The 21,990-nt window shown below is 48.3% G+C and overlaps 2 protein-coding genes across 7 annotated transcripts in view, besides 1 other annotated feature; both read left to right on the forward strand.

The window, feature by feature from the left end:
• Positions 1-2,064, forward strand: part of GLB1L3 (galactosidase beta 1 like 3) — a 49,538-nt gene extending 47,474 nt beyond the window's left edge. Inside the window, exon 20 of the transcript XR_002957120.2 lies at positions 2,004-2,064. The gene's annotated coding sequence lies outside the window, so the exon portion shown is untranslated. The remainder of the gene's footprint in view (positions 1-2,003) is intronic.
• Positions 8,598-8,897: a silencer, noted in NCBI's record as "silent region_4098". NCBI's record gives its function as "represses an Ori minimal core promoter by ATAC-STARR-seq in GM12878 lymphoblastoid cells {active_cell/tissue: GM12878}" and the evidence as "EXISTENCE:reporter gene assay evidence [ECO:0000049][PMID:35858748]".
• The window catches only part of GLB1L2 (galactosidase beta 1 like 2), a 44,337-nt gene continuing 31,094 nt past the window's right edge, over positions 8,748-21,990 (forward strand). For all 6 annotated transcript variants that reach the window (XR_007062523.1, NM_001370460.1, NM_001370461.1 and 3 more), the window contains exons 1-4: positions 8,748-8,907; positions 19,514-19,711; positions 21,147-21,215; positions 21,794-21,889. Coding sequence is in view for 5 of the 6 variants with exons in the window: in NM_001370460.1 (NP_001357389.1) it covers positions 8,822-8,907; positions 19,514-19,711; positions 21,147-21,215; positions 21,794-21,889 (449 nt within the window). In the remaining variant the exon portion in view is untranslated. The remainder of the gene's footprint in view (positions 8,908-19,513; positions 19,712-21,146; positions 21,216-21,793; positions 21,890-21,990) is intronic.

Raw genomic sequence — 21,990 nt, forward strand, 5'->3', positions numbered from 1 at the left:
CTGGGCGCGGTGGCTTATGCCTGTAATCCCAGCACTTTGAAAGGCCAAGGTGAATGCATCACCTGAGGTCAGGCGTTTGTGACCAGCCTGGCCAACGTGGTGAAACCCCGTCTCTACTAAACACACACACATGCGTGCGCACACACACACACACGTACACACACACACACACACACACACACACAATTAGTCGGCCTGGTGGTGGGTGCATGTAATCCCAGCTACTTGGGAGGCTGAGGCAGGAGAATCGCTTGAACCCGGGAGGCGGAGCTTGCAGTGAGCCGAGATGGCACCACTGCACTCCAGCCTGGGCGACAGAGCGAGACCCCGTCTAAAAAAAAAAAAAGTAATCTCTTAAATTGTATGTGCATTTCAGCTTTCATTTCCACAGAAAGGTGGTAGTGTTTTTCATCAGGTGTCATGGAAGAATAACTTCTCTCTGGCCATATCAATGGATTTACTTCTTCAGCACATTCCAGCAAATAAATCATTAGTTGCTTGTAAGGCCTGTGTTGCTGTTATTCTCTGCAAAGTGTAATATTAAGCCTTTTTTTTTCTTTTTTGCTGAAGCTTTTTAAAAAGCATGTTTTAGTTGCTATTCAACCTTTCTGAACGTCTTGCATAAAGTAAAGAGACAAGAGAGTTTCAAAATCTTTTTTATGTCGTGTACTCTGTTTTTGGTTGAAGAGGCCCTACCTTATACTGTGCTGAAATTTCTTTCTAAATACAGAGCTAAAAGTCGTGAATGAAGCAATTACACATCTGTAATTCCTAAGCCACTTATGGCCTTAGCCATGTTTGTTCTTTCTTTGCCAATGATAATTGCATGGCAACTTTATATCCTAATTTTTCATTTCATAACTATTTCTTGGGTTGCTGTGCTATACTCAGAAATCATGGCAAAGAATAAAGGAGAAGAATTGTTAAAGTTTTCGTTAATCTACCATACCAAACTTAATCTACCGTACCCAACTTTAAGGCAACTTCTATTTGTTTCTGCATGCCCAAATATCTGATATACAAGACATGGATATTTTAATAATATCACTGATTGATACACAGTAAAATATAATTCAGGAAAACATATTTTAGTAGCATGTTTTGTAGAAGGAGCTTTGTACCTCGAAGTCATAACTTGGGCAGATTTAAACAATTCTTTGGCAGCCAAAAAACTACTAAAAATACCAGCATATAGCAATTATCCTGAGAAGCTTTTTATTTAGTCTCTGCAGACTCAAAGCTATAAGAAATTATCTTTTAAAAGTGTTATTATAAATCTGTCTTTTGAAGTTGGATTAGTGAGAACATAATGTGCCTAATTTTTGCCGACCACTATCGTTTTTTCTTTGTACCTTGTCTGTTCTTTGTTCTGTCTGAGCTGAAAATGATTTATCATAGATGTAGCTGCACATAATTTTGGAGATTTGCCTTCTCATGAAATTTGAGGTGGCAAGAATCCCCAAAGAAGACTTTTTCTTCAAAGATTCATGGCCTGAATGATATTAAATAATAACAATAAATTTGGTATAAACCACATTTTTATAAAAAACACATGCATGTTGTTTAGTGTAATAAATGGTACTCATCAAGCAATTCTAAAATGATAAAAATTGTGATATAACATAATCTTTATTGTGTTAATATATATTTATTACTTATACATTTAAATTTATAATTCATATGATATAAAATGTTTACATATTTTATACTACATTTTATATTTTAAAAACATATTTTCTATACATTGTTGGCTTAAAGAGGATATCATATTCTTCCCAAAGTTATAAAGTTATAAAGCTAATGTATGCTCTCCACATTCACATGAGCTGTCAATCTGTTTCCTTAGGTGCTTCAACATTTGAAAATTCTTAATAATTGTTTTTGGACATTAAATCAACAGTTTTTATAATAATCAGTAATTGCTTTATTTCACTTTAACCTGCTGATAACATTTTAATGTTTCACTTTATGTTACATCTCAAATGCATACTTGCATTTCAAAGTGAGTACAGTCGTCCTGCAGCATCCGTGGGGGACCAGTTCCACCATCTACTATGGATACCGAAATCCACAGGTGCTCAAGTCCCTGATATGAAATGAGGCAGTATTTGCATATAATCTATGCACGTTCACTTGTATCCTTTCAATCATCTTGAGATTATTTATAATACTTAATACAATGTAAATGCTATGTAAATAGGGTTATACTGTATTGTTCAGGGAATAATGACAGGAAAAAAGTTTGTACATGTTCAGTACACATGTGTTTTCTTTGTAGTTTTCTTCGTTTTAATTTAAAAATCTATGGGTACATAGTAGGTGTATATATTTATGGAGTGCATGAGGTATTTTGATACAGGTGTGCAATGTGTAATAATCACATCAAGGTAAATGGGGCGTCCATCACCTCAAGCATTTATCCTTTCTTTGTGTTACAAACCATCCAATTATACTCCCATGTAAACGGACTCTCTCTGTCACCCAGGCTGGAGTGCAGTGGCGCGATCTTGGCTCACTGCAACCTCCCAGGTTCAAGCAATTCTCCTGCCTCTGCCTCCTGAGTAGCTGGGATTACAGCCATGCTCCACCATGCCGGCTAATTTTTGTATTTTTAGTAGAGATGGGGTTTCACCATGTTGGTCAGACTGGTCTTGAACTCCTGACCTTGTGATCCACCCGCCTTGGCCTCCCAAAGTGCTGGGATTAGAGGCGTGAGCCACCGTGCCTGGCCTCCCACAGTTATTTTTAAATGTACGATAAGTTATTGTTGATTGTAGTTATCCTGTTACTACCTATTAGATACTAGATCTTATTCATTCTATCTAAATTCTATCTAAATTAGATACTAGATCTTATTCATTCTATCTAAATATATTTTTGTACCCATTAACTATCCCCAGTCCCTCCACTCTAGATGTGAATTTTTTACAAAAAAAATTTTTAATCCATGGTTGGTTGAATCCACAGATGCAGAACCCACAGATACAGAGGGGTAAGCGTGTTCTGATATTAACAACAAATTCCGGTGACACGCCTCACTCTCACATCTGGCAGGGTTACGACGTGGATTTGAAATTAACCTCAGTGATCACTCTGTTGTCAAGAGTTCAGTGAGGACTTAAACTATCTCATATGCTCCAACCTAAAGCTAATCCCTTCACTTGGTCACCTTGTCCCTACACTTTACCTCCTCAAGGGTTTCACAACAGAAATTCTCTACGGTCTGTCCTACCTCACCAGTTTTGTCTGCTGATCAAGATCACTATCAGCATACAAGCATGCTGTAGTAGAAATGAAAATAGAACACGGCTCTTGATTCAGTTCCCTCTTCTGCCCCAGTTACCATCCCATTTATGTATTCCCTTTCTTATTTATTTATTTATTTTTGAGATGGAGTTTTGCTCTTGTTGCCCAGGCTATAGTGCAGTAGTGTGATCTCAGCTCACTGCAACCTCTGCCTCCCTGGTTCAAGTGATTCTCCTGCCTCAGCCTCCTGAGTAGCTGGGATTACAGGCACCCACCACCACGCCCAGCTAAGTTTTGTATTTTTAGTAGAAATGGAGTTTCACCATATTGGCCAGGCTGGTCTCGAACTCCTGACCTCAGGTGATCCACCCGCCTCGGCCTCCTAAATTGCCGGGATTGAAGGCGTAAACTACCGCACCCAGCCTATGTGTCCCCTTTCTAGCCTATATTCTCAAAAGAGTCATCTACATTAATGGTCTTAGATTTCTCTTCACCCTTCCTTCCCGAACCCATTCCAGTTGGCTTCCCAAATCCCATGACCCCCAACTCCACCCAAGCTGCCTGTGTCCAGTTCACCAACGTTTACCACATACTAAATCCACGGGTCGATCCTCAGTGTTGCTTTAACCTCACCTGTTGGTGGCATGGTTCCTTGCCTTTTCTCAGTGTTAGGTGTGCCAGGGCTTGTCCCCATCCCCTTTCTCGGTCTGCACTTTGTTAATTGGTGCAGGTTCTTGCCTTTAAATACCAGCTCTCTGTCAACTCCTAAATTCGTATCTCCATCCCAAACCTCTTTCTGGACCATCAGGATTGATGTTCAGCAGCCTGCGTGGTGTCTCCACTCCACTCCACTCAATGCAGCAGGTCCAAGCTGAGCTACTGATGTCTCCCAGAAACTTGCCCATGACCTTCCCCATCTCAGGTCACAGCGACCAGCACTTCTTGTTTCTCAGGCCCAGCCTGTGGGAGACATTCTTAAGCCCCCTTTATTTCTCTCCCCCTACAAACAATCCACGAATTGCAACAACCCTCTCATGTCTGCTTTCCGAATACTCCCAAAAATTCAACACTTCTCACTACCTCCACCGCTGTCCCCTGAGCCAGCATCGTCTCCCATATGGATTACTGCATGGCACCAGTGATCCTTCTAAGTTATCATCACCGCCATGTTCAAACCATGCAGTGGCTCCCATTTCATTCAGAGTCAAAGCCCTGCTCTTAAAGGCCCTGCATGATCAGGCCCCTGTATCTCTCTGTCCTCATCTCCTGCCTTCTTGCCATCACCTCCCACGCTGTCCTCCTAGCCTTTCCTTGGACACCAGGGACACCAGGTCATGCTCCTTCCTGAGGGCCTTGGTACGAGCTGCTCTGTCTGCTTGGACAGTGCTTCCTCCAGGTTCTATCTTGGTTCGCTTGCATGGAGAACTCCCACTGTGTTCCGATCTTTGTTCAGCTAATGTCTTTCCGGGGAGACCGCCTCTCTGCAGACCCCTCCCCACCACATTCCCAGTCCTCCTTCCCTTATTACTTTTTTTTTTTTTTTTTTTTGAGATGGAGTCTCACTCTGTTGCCCGGGCTGGAGTGCAGTGGAATGATCTTGGCTCACTGCAACCTCCACTTTCAGGGTTCAAGCAATTTCTGGCTAATTTTTGTATTTTTAGTAGAGACGGGGTTTCACCATGTTGGCCAGACTGGTCTTGAACACCTGATCTCAAATGATCTGCCTGTCTCAGCCTCTCAAAGTGCTGGGATTACAGGCGTGAGTCACTGGGCCTGGCTCCCTTATTACTTCTTAAATTTTTGCAATGGAGTTTACTACCTTTGAATATACTCTACAGTTTACTTATTCATTCTGTTAAGTTTTATTGTCTTTCTTCCCTAGCTAGAACAGAAATTTCAAAGAGAAGAGATCTTTGTTCTGTCCACTGATACATCCCAAGCATGTGAAACAGTGTTCAGTATGTTGTTTATGGTCATTAAAATTTGTCATTTACTTTTTAATAAATACAATGCTGCAGAATTAGATCTTTGGCTATTAGGCCTTCAAAGGCTGAGCCTACAAAATGATAGTTAGGCTTGGTAAGGCCAAAGATCAAGTTCTGTGCATCCTTATCGGATGTGCACAGGCCCCTTCCAGTCCCACTCACATATCTTTGGGGCTGAAAAGCTTTGTCTACTTCCTTTATCTTAAATCTGCCTTCTCTTTTCTTTTTCCTAGGCCAAATCTCCATTCCAGGACTTTCTATTTTGTTTTGGCTAGGGTTGAAATGGCCCTCATTTATTCCCAGGAATTCTCCTGTGCTCTGAATTTCTTTGTTCAAGACCCCTGGCAACTTGACATCATAACTGGACTTTGCTTCTCCTGAGGGGAGGGTGGATGGGGGTTGCTGGACAGAGGTGTCTGTCCATAAGGAGGAGGTGGGGAGGAGAGGGTTATATCTTGGTCCAGGGGCCCAAGTGACTGTACTATCGTAGAAGCCACATTTTTCATCTTATTCTCATGACTAAAAGAAATTTTGCCAATGTTTTCCTAAAATTCAGATATCCTGTGTTTAAAGCATTAGCAGAGTGCCCTCAAAAATGAGTTACGTGAATGAATAACTGATCTGTAAACCTGTTACCTATTAAAAATAAAAAGTGAAACAGCAAATGAGACTAGTTTGACATGATCGCTTTTCCCACGTGACTTCACTGTACTGATTTTGAGCGAGTGTGGTTTTTATTCTCCTGTGTGTGCATTTTGTATGTGTTTCGGTTTCCCGCTGATTATCTGTGATACAGGAATTTTCAAGGAAGGAACTGTGCCCTCTGGGTCTGTTGGAGCTCTGACTTAGAGCAATGGAAATGGCACACCAACAAGATTTAACTTTTTTAAAAAGCATTTCTTGTATTTTCTAAACCCTGGACACTAGAAAGAAGGCCTGGGAAGAGGATGATTCCTGTGTACCAGGGATTCATTACCAAGCCAAGCACCTTGGCAGACCACTTTTTTACCCCACTCTTATGCCAGCTCATTGTAACTGTAGCTTTTGTTCCCAGGGATTTGAGTATTTTCACTGTCTGCTTTGGGTTAAGATCACTAAACATTTTGGAAAGGAGACACTGAAGGAGTATCTTGCTAATTTTTTTTTTTTTTTTTTTTTGAGACGGAGTCTCGCTCTGTCGCCCAAGCTGGAGTGCAGTGGCACGATCTCGGCTCACTGCAAGCTCTGCCTCCTGGGTTCACGCCATTCTCCTGCCTCAGCCTCTTGAGTAGCTGGGACTACAGGCGCCCGCCACTACGCCCGGCTAATTTTTGTATTTTTAGTAGAGATGGGGTTTCACCGTGTTAGCCAGGATGGTCTCGATCTCCTGACCTCGTGATCTGCCCCCCTCGGCCTCCCAAAGTGCTGGGATTCAGGCTTGAGCCACCGCACCCGGCCTAATGTTTTAAAAAACAAAAGTCTCAGGCTGGAAATGGTGACTCACGCCTGTAATCCCAGCCCTTTGGGAGGCCGAGGCAGGTGGATCACCTGAGGTCAAGAGTTTGAGATCTGCCTGGGCAACATGGTGAAACCCCGTCTCTACTAAAAATACAAAAATTAGCCGGGGAAGGTGGTGGGTGCCTGCAGTCCCACCTATTCGGGAGACTGAGGCAGGAGAATAGCTTGCATCCCGGGAGGCATTGCAGTGAGCTGAGATTGCACCACTGCACTCCAGCCTGGGTAACAGAGTGAGACTCTGTCTCAAAAAAAAAAAAAAAAGTCTCAGCCTATGAGCAAGACGCATCTCGGGTTAGTGCTAACTTTGTAGCATTCTGTGGTATCATTAAGCCCAGATAAAGTAAAATTGTTCCTAGACTGTGAGCAGGGTGTGTCCCTAGTTCTGAACATCCCACAAGGTTAAGGGGAAATTTTTTTGAAAACACTCAGTTATGTATATTTTTCTCGCACAAATAAAAACGAAGGATACAAGGGTGGGCCAAGGAGTTCACGGTTTTCACAACCCATGTTAAGTTTTTGCTAACGTTTGAAGAAAAATGGAGATGCTTGTATTGCTTAAACCATTTGAGAATTCCCTTATATTTGATAGATTCTGCCACTGTTCAACGTGACCAGAAGTGAGAGGATGAATGTGGGGTGCATGTCTTTCGGATGGTCCCCTGCAGGCAAAGGGGCTAGCCTTTGACAATTTCTCCACACGCTTCGGGGCTAGCTGGTATATTCCAATTAAACCAACATGTTTCCATCACAGACTTCATAGCCATCAAGCAATCATAGCCTTACCCAATGGAGAAAAGGAGCGGGCTTGGAGCGCGTCCACGGGAGTGGGCCTCCCTCTGCGCGCCTCTGGGAATGTTTGCGGTGCTTAAGTCAGACCCGGATTGCTCCAAGCCCAGCTTATCCTCCCCAGTTCTGCCAGGGTTTTTTTCCTCTTGTTTGTTCGTTTGTTTTTGCCTCTCTTTGATTTAACTTTTGCTCCTTGACTAAATATGTGCTTAACGCTAGACAAAGGACACTTCATACCCAAGTCTGTGTCTTTGTTCCAAGATCTGCAATTTCATTTGGTTCCTGTCGGCTTTACAAGTTCAAAACTATGCCCCCGTTTAGGAAATGAATTCAAAGCATGCGGCAAGGGAGACATTCGACAAACCCGGATGCTCTGGAAAACGTTGCCCTTCCTCGAGTTTCTTTCAGTAAAATCTGAATTTTGTTCCCGGGAGGAGTTGGGTTTGTGATTGCTACAGTGTAAGTTGCACCGAAATACTACATCATGTTCTTTGGGACATACATTCTGTTTCAGAATAAGAATGATATTCTTCCTTTCCTAAAATGTGAGAGTTTTATATGGACCTTTTTAAAATAAAAAATTGGAAGCCCTTGGAGTCAAGGCCAGAGTAAGACTCGCAGAAACCAAAGACAGAAAATATTTGGAACCCCCCCTCCTCAGACATGAACCACACTGAAATGTGTCCAGATACAATTCTTCAAAATCCTGGCTTTTCACAGGATGATTTGTTATTGAAAAAGTTGTTTGCTTCAGAATCTGAATTGTTTTAAAAGATTCTGTTGGTTGCCCCTGCTTTGCGGACGCCTTTTGTACGTTCTTCCTGATGTAGCGCTGCGAGGGGCGACTTTACCTCGGCGTTTGACAGGTACGCAGCATTCCCGCACCCGCCTGCGCCTCGCGAGCAGAAAGACGGCGGACTCTGCACCGCTCCACGACACTGGGGACCCGCCCCGGCCAGACCCGTCCCCTACCGAGACCTTGTCCCCGCCCCGCCCCCGGCCGGGGCCCCGCCCCGCCAGCCCCGCCCCCGCCAGCCCCCTCTCCTACCGAGACCTCGTCCCCGCCCACCAGCCCCGCCCCGCCCCCCCCCCGACAGAGGCCCCGCCCCGGCCCCGGCCAGCCCCGCCCCCGCTTGCGCGAGGCCTAGGGCTGCAGGCGCGGAGCCGCGAGCCCCAGCCAATGAGCGCCGGCGGGCCGGTTGCCCAGGCGACCAGTGCGCGGCTCCGCCCCCCGCGGCGAGGCTCCCGCGCGCGGCTGAGTGCGGACTGGAGTGGGAACCCGGGTCCCCGCGCTTAGAGAACACGCGATGACCACGTGGAGCCTCCGGCGGAGGCCGGCCCGCACGCTGGGACTCCTGCTGCTGGTCGTCTTGGGCTTCCTGGTGCTCCGCAGGTGAGAGAGAGCTTCGCGCAGCACCTGCCGGACCCCACATTCCCCAGCCCTCCGCACCTCGGGTTCTCTCCTCCCGCGACCCGCGAATCCCGAGTTCCCGGGGGGAGCAGCCCCAGCTGCTTCTTTCTGGGAGCTCCCCAATACCCCCGAGTTCCCCTGCGGCTGCAGGCACTCTACTCCTGCCGCGCGATCCAGGCCTCTGGGCGACACCCGGCGTGCCCTCGGGAGCCGGCGTCTGTGCCCCGAGCCGCCCACCCCGCCGCGCCTGTGACGCCGGGCTCTGCCCCCCGTGGACGCCCGCAGCCCTCCAGCCGTCAGAGCCCTCTCAGACGCACCCCATCGCGGCCCCGTCCCCACTGCTCCGCGGAGAGCTCCCTCTGCCCTTCCCCCAGGCCCCCCTTTTCCTCCCAAGCCTCTGGGAGGCGCCTTATTCCGCAGAGGCCGGCGCTTCAGCCTGGCAGGTATGGTCTAGCCAGCTGGCCTGGCAGGGTCGTAAGAACAGTGTCCGTGGGCCTCCAAGATCCCGGGCCATGATTTATTTGCACAGTAGGACTGATAGGTCGTCTCTCTCCACTTTCCCACCATTCACCTGTTACCAGCTCACCCTTTCCTCTCCCCCTTTTCCAAATGTTGTTTATGGCAAAGGAGTGGCTTCAGTGATACTGTGATTTACCCACAGCCTGTGAAAAAGTTTTCTGGGTGCCCTAGCCCAGCATTTTTCTAAACTGTGCTTATTTTAAGGATTCTACAGCCCTGACCCTATCTTTCAGGTCAGCACTTTCCATATTCAAAACCTCCAGTGGGAAGCCGACCGGCAGTATCGAATGAACTGAACGGTTGGAAGTGGTGGCAGGCCCTACGCCGCTCGGCTTTGTCATTTGCTTCTTTTTTACTTAGAGAAACTAAGTTCTTAGTTTCTCTGCACTTCCCCTGGGAGACAGGGAAGTTTTTGATGGAGATAAATATCTGGAAGTCCTTTGTGGCCAGAAGAACACACTGACAAACTCTATGTTTACACCTTGTCAAGACTGGATTCTTGTTTCTGAGATAGTGGGGACGTCATGATATTGTTTGGGAGAAGGACGGATTTTCTTCTCATTCTGGGGCCCAGAAAACTTCAGGCATTTAACTTCTCCGGTTGTTCCCAAGATGTTTTCTGTCCTGCCTAAGATCTCTAAGCCATTCCTCTCTGAAGATTGGCCCTGGCTCCTGTGGGATGCTCAGCTTTCCTCCCTGTGCAAGGCTTACGCAAACCCCAGAAGAATTACTCAGAGCAGCGGCAGCAGATCCTCCTGCATACAGCAGGGTAGCAAGGCGTGCAAGCTGCCAAGAGAAAGGCTAGCGGCTGCAGGCCTGTTGTTGGTCAGGGATACAGGAGTCCGTGCAGGGGACCCAGGCAGGTCACTATTTGGGGCAGCACTGTGGGCTTGAGATGGGCTGAGTGGTACACCCAAAAAGTCCCCAGGAAAAGGTATGCGAAGGAGGCTGAGGGTTTGTTATTGTTTGGTGGGACAGAGGTGAGGTGGCAGGGAGCTGACCTAGCTGGGAAGACGCCTGAGCTTCTTTGAGGTGAGGTAACTGTGTCCCCACCTAGGTGGGGTGACCGCACTAGGAGTCAGTCTTGGGCCATTGGAGCAGGTGGAATGGCAACAGAGAATAAAGAGCTGCAACCAAATTCTGTGAAAACAGTTTGGCCTGCCTGGGAAGGATGTTTTTCTTGCCTCTCCATCCTTCTAGCAGGTAGAACAGAAGCTCAAGGAGCTCTGAACCAAGTTCAGGGCCGTGTCTTCAGATCCTGTGGAATACGTGTCTTTTTGGCATCTTTTTGATTTTTTCACCCTCATGGGTACATTCTGCCAGTTCCTCCTGTCTGACTTGGGCTGGACACCAGTGAGTATGAGTTGCTGTAATATCTCTGGAGGCAGGAGGAGAACATCCTCTTTGTCTTTCCCTCTTCCTGTCTTGCCCCAGCTCTGACTGGGTCATTAACTGAGTGGGAGGTGGGGCCTCTCCCAGCTGTTACTGGGCAGTGTTGAGGTGGCCAGTGGAATATAGGTCACGTGGAAACTGGCCACCAAGTTCACTCTTTGTGGAGCCGAGCTGTCAGGAGCAGCCCCTTTCCTGTAGCAGAAGGCAGGTATTTGGACAGTGGCTGGCATGGGCTGGGGGATGTTTGGCTATAGCTTTTCTTTTTTTTCATCAACTTTTCCTTGGGCTGGTTCACGGTCAGTCATAGCTGGTGGGTTACATCATATCAAAAGACTAGGATGACCAGGTTGACTTTTGGGGAGGATTTCAGTCTTAGAATTTTTATTTTTATTTTTTTTAAGCGTAAACAGTGGTCTTTCTTAAAAATTACCTTTATTGGAGTTTAATTAATATGTACAATTTGATAAGCTTTGACACATATCTAAATCCAGCTGTGAATCTATCACCACAGTTAAGATTGTGAAAACAGCCACCAGCCCCCAAAGTTTCCATGTACCTCTCTGTCATCCCTCCCTCCTACTCCTCCCTGCTCCCCAGCCCCAAGCAACCACTGATCTGTTGCTTTCCGACACGATATATTGGTTTGCATTTTCTAGTGTTTTATAGAATTGTAATCTTAAAGCATGTTTTCCTTTTTGGTCTGGCTTCTTTCACTCAGAGTATTATTTTGAGGTCTGCGATGCACGTATCAGTGCGAACCGTGCCTTTGAGCCAGTTGCCTTTCATTCTCTTCCTATTCGCACTCCATGAACACAAGAATGCCTGCTTGATATTATCTAAAGGCATGGTTCTCATTCATGATTTTTTCCTTAATATAAATGAATCACCGAGCAAGAATACAGGCAACGCTGCATCTCTCATACCTGAAATTTTAGCTGGGAAAGTTGGGAGAGGGGAAAGCCTTCATGTGGGCAGCCAGCATCATGCTCCTAAGAGGTAAGTTCATTTCTTCTCTGAGGTCCGTCTCACACACTGCCCTGCCCTGCTGTTTTCTTTATTCCAGACCCCAAATTCTTCCTATAGAAAGGAAAAGGAGGAGATGTATCAAACTCTTTCTCCTGAACAAGGTGGCTAACTTAGCAATGCAGGTCACTTTTTTTTTTTTATGTGAATCATGGCCAGTCCTGTCTTCCAAGGGTATGTGGCCAAATCATGCCTCTCCTCTGGAGCTTCTGGGAGGTAATTGATTTTATGGGCCTTGCCTATTCTAGGACTCTTCTCTGCTTGAGGCCTGAGTCATATTTCATGGAATGTTCAAACTCTTTGAACAGTGTTCCTTTCATCTTGTAGTAGTAAAGTTTTCAGCATCGGGGAAGTGTCTCTTTCAGCAGGTGATCACCTGTTGGATACAGGTGTTGAGGGATGTCTGAATCACCCTGTGCTAGGAAGATCGAGTTGGCTCTGGGATTCTTACAGGACCATGCTAGCCACCAGCAGAAGGAGACCAGAGTTGTCTTGGAGCAGCCATAGTATTGGTATAGGTGTGATTCAAGGGAGGGACTGGGCTACCAAGAAGATTGGAGACAAAGAGCCTGGGCTGCAGAAATAGCAGAAAGTTGACCAAAGGGTTCTTCCCACCTTAAGGTAAGGAAGTGGCAAGTGAAATAAAAACATGTAGTCCTTGATGAAGTGGTGCAGAGTTCCACGAGGTCATGTCAGACGCTCTTCTGGGAAGAATTCAGGAGATGCTGTAGCTTGCGGAGAAAGGTTTGAGAACATTTGGACCTGAAAAGGACTCTGGGGTCTAGGCACGTCCTCCCTCCCTCCCTCTCCACCATCACCAGCAGGGGCAGGGTTTTTTGGTGTCAATGTTGGGATATTTGCTGCTTCCTCTCCACTCAGTTTTAGCTTTTGCTTAAATCTATTGCTCTGGATATTAAAGACCGTATTGAAAAAGAGTTCTCATGTGTGGATGTCTCCTGGGATAGAAAGGCAGCAGGTGTTTTTAGAGGCTCCTGCTAACGAGGTAGATATTTCTTGACTCGTGTCTGCCTGTTAGAGACTCCTTGTTGATACTCACAGCTTCTGTTCTTTGACACTCAGCGAAACAGTCAGTGGGCTTGTTCCTTTCAAGCACAGATTGTATTTTTTTCCCTTAAGAAGTTATTTTGTGAGTAGGCAATTAATGAACATGGTAAGTATTCAGAGTGTGAAGGGGAATAAAGTGAAAAGAAACTCCCATTCCTGGCCCCTAGGCTAGGCACCCTTCCCTATCCCCTATTCATATCAGCTGTTACTACTGGTAATGGCTTCTTTCAGAAATATTCTATGCATATACAAGAAGATAGCTACACATATTATCCCACTTGTCCATTAGACACATAATTTATTTAAACAGCCTTCTACTGATGGACATCGATTGTTTGCAATCTTTTAGCTACTGTAAACAAAGCTGCTGCAGATATCTGTTGGATGTATTTCTATAAGTAGAATTGCTGACCGTAGGATAGATTCATTTTAAATCTTGATAGACATTTCCAAATAGTACATTTTATTTCTGTTGGATCAATGTAAAGGAGATTCCGAGCCCAACTCAATAGGGCCAAGTCGATTCTTGAGTCTTGTAAGAGCCAGTGCATCTCTTGTATATCTTCATAGATAAGTCCTATGTGGTGGATTAAAAAAAAATTTAACATAATAATGTTTTTCCGTATTTGTGATATCATTTCATTTAGAGTCTACAAGCATCTTGAAGATCAGGGGCTTGTTATCAAGAGTAGAGGCCTTGTGTTATCTAACAGAGCTTTCTCTCTGGGTGAGACACAGTCCTTTTCCTGTTTATGATGCTGTCAATGGTCCCAAAGTACTGCAAAAGTACAGAGTAACAGAATGTTAGAACACTTTTTGTTGTTGTTATTGTTGTTATATGGTTGATTAGAGTGAGGGGTTTTTGTTACTTTACTATTGGATCTCAAGGTTTTGGTCTAGTAAACTCTTCTTCATGTACTCACTTCCTACAGTCTTTAGGAAATAACTGCTCTCTGAACCACCAATATTGCTTCCGGGTCAGAGCCTGGATGTGAGGCCAGGGTTCCTGCCTTACCTGGGAGCCTTTTCAAAGGAAAAAGCAGAGGAGCTAGGATGGCAAGAGTGCTGTGGACCTCTTGCTGGGGACCTCACATCTCTGCAAGATGCATATACTTGCCTTGGGAATGGCAGGCCAAAGCCCTTGGGCGTATTTAATGCCTCTCCCAGCAAACAGGAGTCCAACACCTTGGGCCCAGACCAAGGAGCACATATAGAAAGCTGGGCCAGAAACAGGGACCGACTTCCATTTCCCTGAGGCTGAAGTTCCTGGAGCCCGGGGATTGGTCCAAGAGGCAATATTTTGGAGTAGAGGCATTAAGGGCACCATCTGGGCCAAAGAGTGAATAGTTCCTTCTTCAGGCCCTCAAATTCTTTTGCTGAGGGTGGAGAGAACATGGCTGAAGGCTGCTGGGACCAAAATATCCCCAAACAGACAGTTTAGGGCAGCAGGATGTCCAAGGAAGTTGAGCCTCATGGGAGCCTAGAACCGAACCAGAATCCTGAGAGTGATGAAGTCTGCACTGAAGACACATCCAAGTGAGGAATTCCCATGTGTTTGATGTCTTTGTGGGCAGCTGAACACACTTGCCATCACATGGTGGCCTCTGGCATGGCCACTTGGAGGAGGGTGGAGGTGAGTGTTTTCTTGGTCAGGATCTTCATGGGATGCCCTGGATTTGGATTCAGTTGAACCTCTGTTTAGGAAGGCCCTAATAGGGCCACAGTGTACCTAAAAATTGAATTTGTAAGCTATCGTCTCAGATGAACAAGTATGTGAACACGTTATGTTATAGCATCAAAATAACCAGCCTTTGGGGCCGGCAAGGACTTATGTTCTGGGAATCGAAGGACAATGATTGCAGTTCCTGACTCAGATACCAGCTTGCGTATGCTGGTGGCCAGCCTCGGACTGCGTGAGTGCTGCCTGGTCTCCACCGGCGGTCATCGTACTCCGGATGTTCACGGCACTCCGGATGTTCTGCTGTGCCCGGTTGCATGGATCCTGGCCTATCTGTGTCTGGTCATACTCTGCATGGCAGACCAGAAAGAGATGACTGTGACCCCAGTGAGGCCTCCCAGCCGTACCATGACCCCGGTTCCTGATGAGTGTTTGCAGGATTGACGGGTGATGCAGGGATGCCCGCTGGCATGGCAGGACGCATTTCAAGCCTGGCACACTTCACTCAAGGAGATCCTTTCTGGTGGTGACAGGATCTGGCTCACCTCCCACCCAGCCGCCCTGCAAGATCCCCTCTGAAACTTGACAGCCAGTCCCATTCCCAGAAAGAGGTGGTGACCTTGCCACCTGCTCATCTGCCCTTTTCCATCCACTCACATCCGGGAGCACTTTTTACTACACCTGGAATCTCCTGCCTGCTGGGGCCTGCCCTGTACCCTTCATCCTCAGGACCCACCTCACCAGTCAAGGAAAAATTACTCCAGAGGGCTCCACCTCCCCCTGCTTCCTCACCACGGGGCACAGCAGAACTTGGTACCTATGTCCTCTGCTTCAGGTTTCCATTGCAACCAATTTTTGTGTCTGCAGCTTGCCCAGCCTTCAGCACGAATAGTGCATGCCCCTTTTCCACTTGCCAAAAGGGAACTGGTGAGGATGGGCTGTAGAGGTCTTGTTAGGTTGTGCGCGGCCCCATCAGAAGTCCTGATGTGCCTGCCTTCCTCCAGGAACCCCACCTTGGACCATGACCATGGCCACCCTCTCCATCCAGGTGGAGGAGCGGAGCCTGACTCTGAGCAGAGCAGACCTGGGCACTGAGCACTGAGTTCAGGGTTTGCTGTCCGGACTCTTCTAAGGTGGAAAAATCGCTTTGGATAAATGAAGCCGAGATACATAGGCAACAGGAATCCTAGCAGAAAGTGTTAACATAAGCTCCAGTTCAAAAGAAGGCAGGTGTTCCTGGTTTCATCAGATAAAGGTCCATCGTGGATGAACTGCTCCCCAAGAAAAGTGACAGAAACACGCTGGGCTTCCTTAGGATTTGGTTAGCTGCTTGGTATCAAGCCTAATTTAGGAGTAAAGTCTTGCTGACCTTTAAACCAACCAACTCCAACCACACTGTTGATATTTCCTTTATTTTATTATTACTGAGTTACTCAGGAAATTATGGGGTTATTCTCCGTCTTATGATTATTAGTATTAATGATCATTATCAGTGTTAATAGCCATTTACATGATGCTTCGTTGTTTATGAAGCTGTAACTCGCATGGTCTCATTTACTAGCAGTGAATTCCTTGGAGAAACCCAACACGTATCATCCTCATTTTCTTGGTGAATCCATCCCTTTTAATAAGGTATTGACAACTTCTCTAGTAACCTACCAGAAAATTCCCATGAAGAAACAGTTGAATTCACCAGAATTTGGAATTGGATAACAGCTAGATTGTTTTTTATTCTTGTTGTTTATTTCATTCCTCTTGCTATGCACTGAGAAGAACGTTTCATTCTAAAAATATAGAAAATGGTGTGTTATAAAGACACTAGCAAAGACAAGCTCTATCCAGGGAGGGAGTCTACGTAGTGTCCAAGGAGAAGACGCAGATTGGGCTTCTCGAGCTGTAACCTTGGGATTGGTTAGAATGCAGATTTTGATTCAGTAGGTCTCAAGTAAGGCTTAAGGTTTATGCATTTCTGACAAGCTGCGGATGAAGACCTGGAAATCTGGTTGGTGGATAGAAGTTGTTGAATTGGGATGCCTCTTTCCAGGTGTCTGCACTTTGAGTCAGGCGGCTGTGACCCTGAGGGAGTTCAGAGGTGTGGCTGTCTATAGACCACACCTGGAGAAGTCAGCCTAGAGGGAGGTTTCCTGATCCTTAGTCATCAACTAATCAAGGGGAGAGGTTAAAGGTGTTGGTTCCTAGCAGGGACTGTGTTGGAATGTCGGTCAGAGAGGCTTCTCCAACCCTGCCTACACCTCTGCATTTAGCAGGGTGGGGAGTGGAGGCTCTCGCACCCATAAGTAGATGTTAGGATAAGTAATGTGTGCTTTAATAAGAATTGGAGATTGTGCTTTTGAAGTTCTGGCTGGAGAATAAGGTTTGGTACCTGGTGGAATGATTGCTAAGTTGTATTGTCACTGTCTTTAAAAACAGTGATATTTTGTGTGTGTGTGCATGTGCATGTGTGTGTGTATTTTCACCACCAGGTTGTCAAAATGCCCCTGTTTTTAAGAAAATAATCTGTCCATCCAGTTCTTCCTCATTCTGGCCTGGGGTGAGCCCAGCATGTGCCTCTGAGGGAACCAGGGGGAGAACCTGTGTTGCGGCGGGCAGGTGAGTCTGGTGAGTACCTGAGGCAGGGAGGGCTGAGCAGGTGGCAGGGTGTGTGCTTTGGAGCAGGTGTGGCCTGAGCAGTTGTGAGCCTGTAGCCAAAGCAAAGCGCCTGGTGAGCAGAGCAGGGGGCACCAAAAGAAGGCCCGGACGGTGGCCCAGAGGGGCCGAGGCCTTGTCTTAGCACTCCAGGGCTTCATCTGCAAGGATGTGGGCCAGCAGAGTTTCTGGGAGAGGGCAGATCGCACATATTTTCAGCTTTGCAGGCCACGCAGTCTATCGCAAGTACTCAACTGCAAAAAGCCATTCGTAGATGGTGTGGCTGTGTGCCAATACAATGATTTATGAACACTGAAGTTCATATAATTTTTTATGTGTCCCAAAATATTATGCTTTTGATTTTTTTCCAACCACTTAAAAATGTGAAAGCTATCCTCAGCTTGCAGGCTGCACAAAGACAGATGGCAGGCTGGATTTGACCCGAGGCCCAAGTTGGCCCACCTCTGGCCTACAGGCTGTGTTGGTCTAATAGGATCTCAGTGTACAGAATCTTTCATTGTCAAATTTTAGAAATTGTCATAAGATGGCTTGGCACAAAGTCTAGCACATAAGCTATATACCACCATGGGGAGAATGGAGAAGTTGGGATTATTCCACATTAGGGACATAAAACCCACTTGTGGCTATTCTCTCTAAAGCTTTCTCTTTGGAGAAAAAAGTGTGGTGAATAGGTTCCCATAACTCTCTAATACGCAAACACATGCTACAATAAATTGATTTCAGATAGAGATAAGACCCTTCGACTCACAGCAGAGAGTGTTGCATTTCTCCGGGACCCTCACAGCAGCCTTTCTGAGCAGTTGGGAGAGGCATTAGACTCGTTTTATAGAGGAAGAAGCTCCTGCCCACAGAACTGGTGTCACTAACCCAAGGCGACAGTTCTACCAAGCTGGGGGCCAGGATTCACATCCGGATCTTCCTATTCCAGCTAGCGTTTTTGCTGTCACTGTCTCATACAGTCCTTTGGAAGAACTGTGTCCTAAAATGTCATTTGCAAGCCATTTACTAGAACATGGAAGTTTTCTCTTTAGAAAAAGAAAAATGTGGTGAACAGATTCCCAGGTTGCCCAAGATGAGATGACCCTTTCATCTGTAACACAGCAGAACCATAGTCCTGGAGCTTCGGTGTGAGTTCTAAGGCCCTGGGGCTGTGAGAAGTAGGAAGGAGTAGGTAAAAAAGCAAATTTCTTTGCCTGAGAGTGGCCCCAGACAAAATTCCCAAGAGGCTGGCGATGTCCGAGCTGTCTTCTGCCCTGTGGGCACCCTGCCCCCTCCCCGTCTCTGGCCATCTGGGCCCTCTCGCTTGTTCCCTCCCTCTGTGACACTCAGCTGAGGGGCGTCTTGTGCAGTGGGGCCCGGCTGGCCACCGCCTGCTAGTGTCAGGGCAGGAGCGAGCGCCGGTGGGGACGAAGGCACAGCCCACACCGGCTCCTGCCCCGGACTCAGCCACCCAGCACCGGCTCCTGCCCCGGACTCAGCCACGCCCTTGTTTCATGCCTCCAGCTTTCCTGACCTTCCTGACTTGAAATGTGGGTCTCCCCAGCTTCTCGCACGGCTTTCGGGAGACAGGGTGGGAAGGAGACCCACCCGGCAGCACCGAGTCACTGGGACCCGGCTGAGGGGCTCCCTGGGGCCGACCCCGAGAGATGCCGAGAGGCGCTTTCTCGCGGACCGGAGCCTTCGACGGCCTTCCCGTGGGGGACTCTGCTCTAGCTGGGTCACCTCGTGGGGGGTGCGCGGTCTTCAGAAAATAATGAAGACCTGGAATCGGGTGGATGGGTGGACGCCGCCAACGCAGACCCTCTTTCCAGGTCTCTGCTCCTGCGGTCGGGCGGCTGCGACCGTGCCGGGGCTCGGAGGTACCGTGTGAAGTCGCTGTCGCGCGTGGCCGCGGGGCTGGCCACGGTGAAGCCCGTGCGGCGCCCGCCCCGCCCCGCCCCGGCCCCAGCAGCAGCCTCTCCCGTGGCGTGACGGCTGCCGTCTCTCCTTTCAGCCCGCCGGCCTCCATGCCGAGTGCTGTGCTTGCTGCCGGCTGCAGCCTCGGCCTGCCCTTCCCCTGCCGCGGGGCCCCGTGCTGAAGAAAGACCCCTTCCCAGGTCTGGCTGAGGCGGAGGGGAGCTTTTCCCAGCCACCTGGACGCAGGCGCCCTCGAGAGAGAAATGCCGAGGACCTGCGAAGGGGCGAGGAAGCCGATCTCTCTGCGGCCCGGAGCCTCCAGGCTCCAGAATGTCTTTGTCTTTCCAGGCTGGACTGGAGCACCCTGGTCCCTCTGCGGCTCCGCCATCGACAGCTGGGGCTGCAGGCCAAGGGCTGGAACTTCATGCTGGAGGATTCCACCTTCTGGATCTTCGGGGGCTCCATCCACTATTTCCGTGTGCCCAGGGAGTACTGGAGGGACCGCCTGCTGAAGATGAAGGCCTGTGGCTTGAACACCCTCACCACGTAGGTGCTGCCCCTGTCCCCCCGGAGCCTGGTTCCTAAGCAGGGCGCCTGGTGTCTGCATGCGAAAAAATATAAGAGGAACCGGCCCAGGTCCTCTGCCCAGGGCGAGAGAGCCAGGGTCTCCCTCCTCCTCCCCACCACAGAGCTCCTGACTCATGGGCGCCAAGGGACATGAAATGGATGTGAGGTCTAGAGGAACCGCAGTAGCAATGTCGCACAAAAGAGTATAGGGAAGGCGGTGAGTGCAGATTGAGGAGGTGATTCAGTGCTAGCGAATCTTTTTGTGTTACAAGCAGTCTTCCCACTTCCAGTTTATACAGCCAGTGAACGGAGTCTTCTTCAGGAGAGCTGCCTGAGAGGCTCTCTGGCCCCAGTTTTCAGCACTCCTCTTGGGCAGTGGTCTTAGAATGCTGTGGTTGCCATCCCAGCCTCTGCTGTGATGATTGGCACATGGTAGGCACGCACTAAAATGTCGAACTTGCAAATCATTTATAAAGTGTGCTCAGTTGTGAATAACCTGGATCTTTTCATGGGTTTTCCCCCCAAATTGCCAACTGATACTTGACGCTAAGTCTATGAAATAAAGGGGGTGATCAGGCTGGATTATTCCATGTTTAGGCAAAAATATGTGATTACAAATCAAGGAGATGGCTTTTCATGGGTGGTTTATGAACTGATTTTGAAGACAGTTCCTTAAAGAGTTACAGAAACCTGCCGAGCCTTGACAACTTCCCCGAAAGGACTCCTGAAGGCTGTGGGAGTGCTGCAGGCTCAGCACTCTGACTCGCAGAAGCAGCACCGACGACACTTGCTGAAAGGCAGAGCTCGTGTGTCTGGGTTGGAAGCCAGGCAGGCTCTCCTCCTTCATCTGAGAATATTCTTTGTAGTGGGCAGAGGCTCTGCGAAAGCCAGCGATGGGGTGGGGCCGGGAGAAGAGCAGCTGCCATCACTGTGTCATCCATGAGTCGTCCCTTCCGCCTCTCGAGTTGAGCCTGTCCATGAGCCTGCTCCATCCCTTGTCCTGTCTTTCGAGTTGGAAGCTTCATTCTGTTGCCCGTTTTGGAATTCCGGGGCTTCAGTAAATATAGGATGATCACCGAGCTTTCCCCTTACTCCTTGTAGCTGTTTTTTTGATAAAGTTACATTTTCTTCTCCAATGGGGCGTGGGCATGGTAAGCTAACTGGGGTCAGAGCGCCTGACCTTTTACTCAGCCGGTCTTATGCTTCATCCAAATCTTGTTGATGCAGAGGGAAGAGGGCTTGCCCTCGATTCTGGTCCCTAGATCAGTTCACTTAGTTCTTGGTTCCAGTCCTAAAATCATGAAGAAACATATCTTTAGCCATCATATTGGATTTTTGGGCTAAAGAAGGTAATGTGAGAGGTGAAATGGAATGAATGACATGCTCTAGCCTATAATTATCATTTCTGTTGCAGCTATGTTCCGTGGAACCTGCATGAGCCAGAAAGAGGCAAATTTGACTTCTCTGGGAACCTGGACCTGGAGTATGTGGTGTTGCTGCTTCTGTGAACTGGCCAGGGGCAGGGCACAGAGGTGGCTACTGGGGTGGATTAGCAACCAAAGAGAACCAGGGAGGGACGTGGGTCTGGAGTCCTGTTCTAGGACTGTGAGAGGCCCTGCACCCAGGACCCAGACGCTCCCCAGTCGTGACCTGTCACCCAGAGGGACTGGGCCTGCAGCCTCCGGGCCCCACCTCTCCACTGCAGCCCAGAGGGGCAGAAGACCCTGGGAGCCGCCCGACTCTGCATGGGGTCCGGCCGCTGGGCTGGGGCAGGGCGGCCCCTCTAGGCTAGCAAGGCTATGGGGTCAGGTTCACTGTTGAGACCACTGAGCCCTGGGTGTCACCCTTCCTCCTCAGGCCCCCGATGGGGCTGTGCAGAGGCTCTGAGGCTGGGAGCAGCTCAGGCCACCGACCTGGTGTGGGAGTCCCCGCGCTTTGGGGGTGGGGCCGAGCCGTCCCTTCGCCCCACCAGGCAGCTCCTCCACCCTGTGATGCGCGTGGCCCCCACCCGGCCTCATCCTGGGCCGTCGTGGGAGGGGCTGACGATGTGGACCTCCCTAGGGCCTTCGTCCTGATGGCCGCAGAGATCGGGCTGTGGGTGATTCTGCGTCCAGGCCCCTACATCTGCAGTGAGATGGACCTCGGGGGCTTGCCCAGGTAAGCGGGGTTGTGAAGGGTCCTGTGTGCTGTGGCAAAAAGCTCACAGACATAGGTCTGGTTTGTTTCTGTGTTCCAGTTCCCATTCTGTACTGAATTGT

The sequence above is a fragment of the Homo sapiens genome, chromosome 11, assembly GCF_000001405.40.
Source record: "Homo sapiens chromosome 11, GRCh38.p14 Primary Assembly".
NCBI classification, from domain to species: Eukaryota; Metazoa; Chordata; class Mammalia; order Primates; family Hominidae; genus Homo; species Homo sapiens.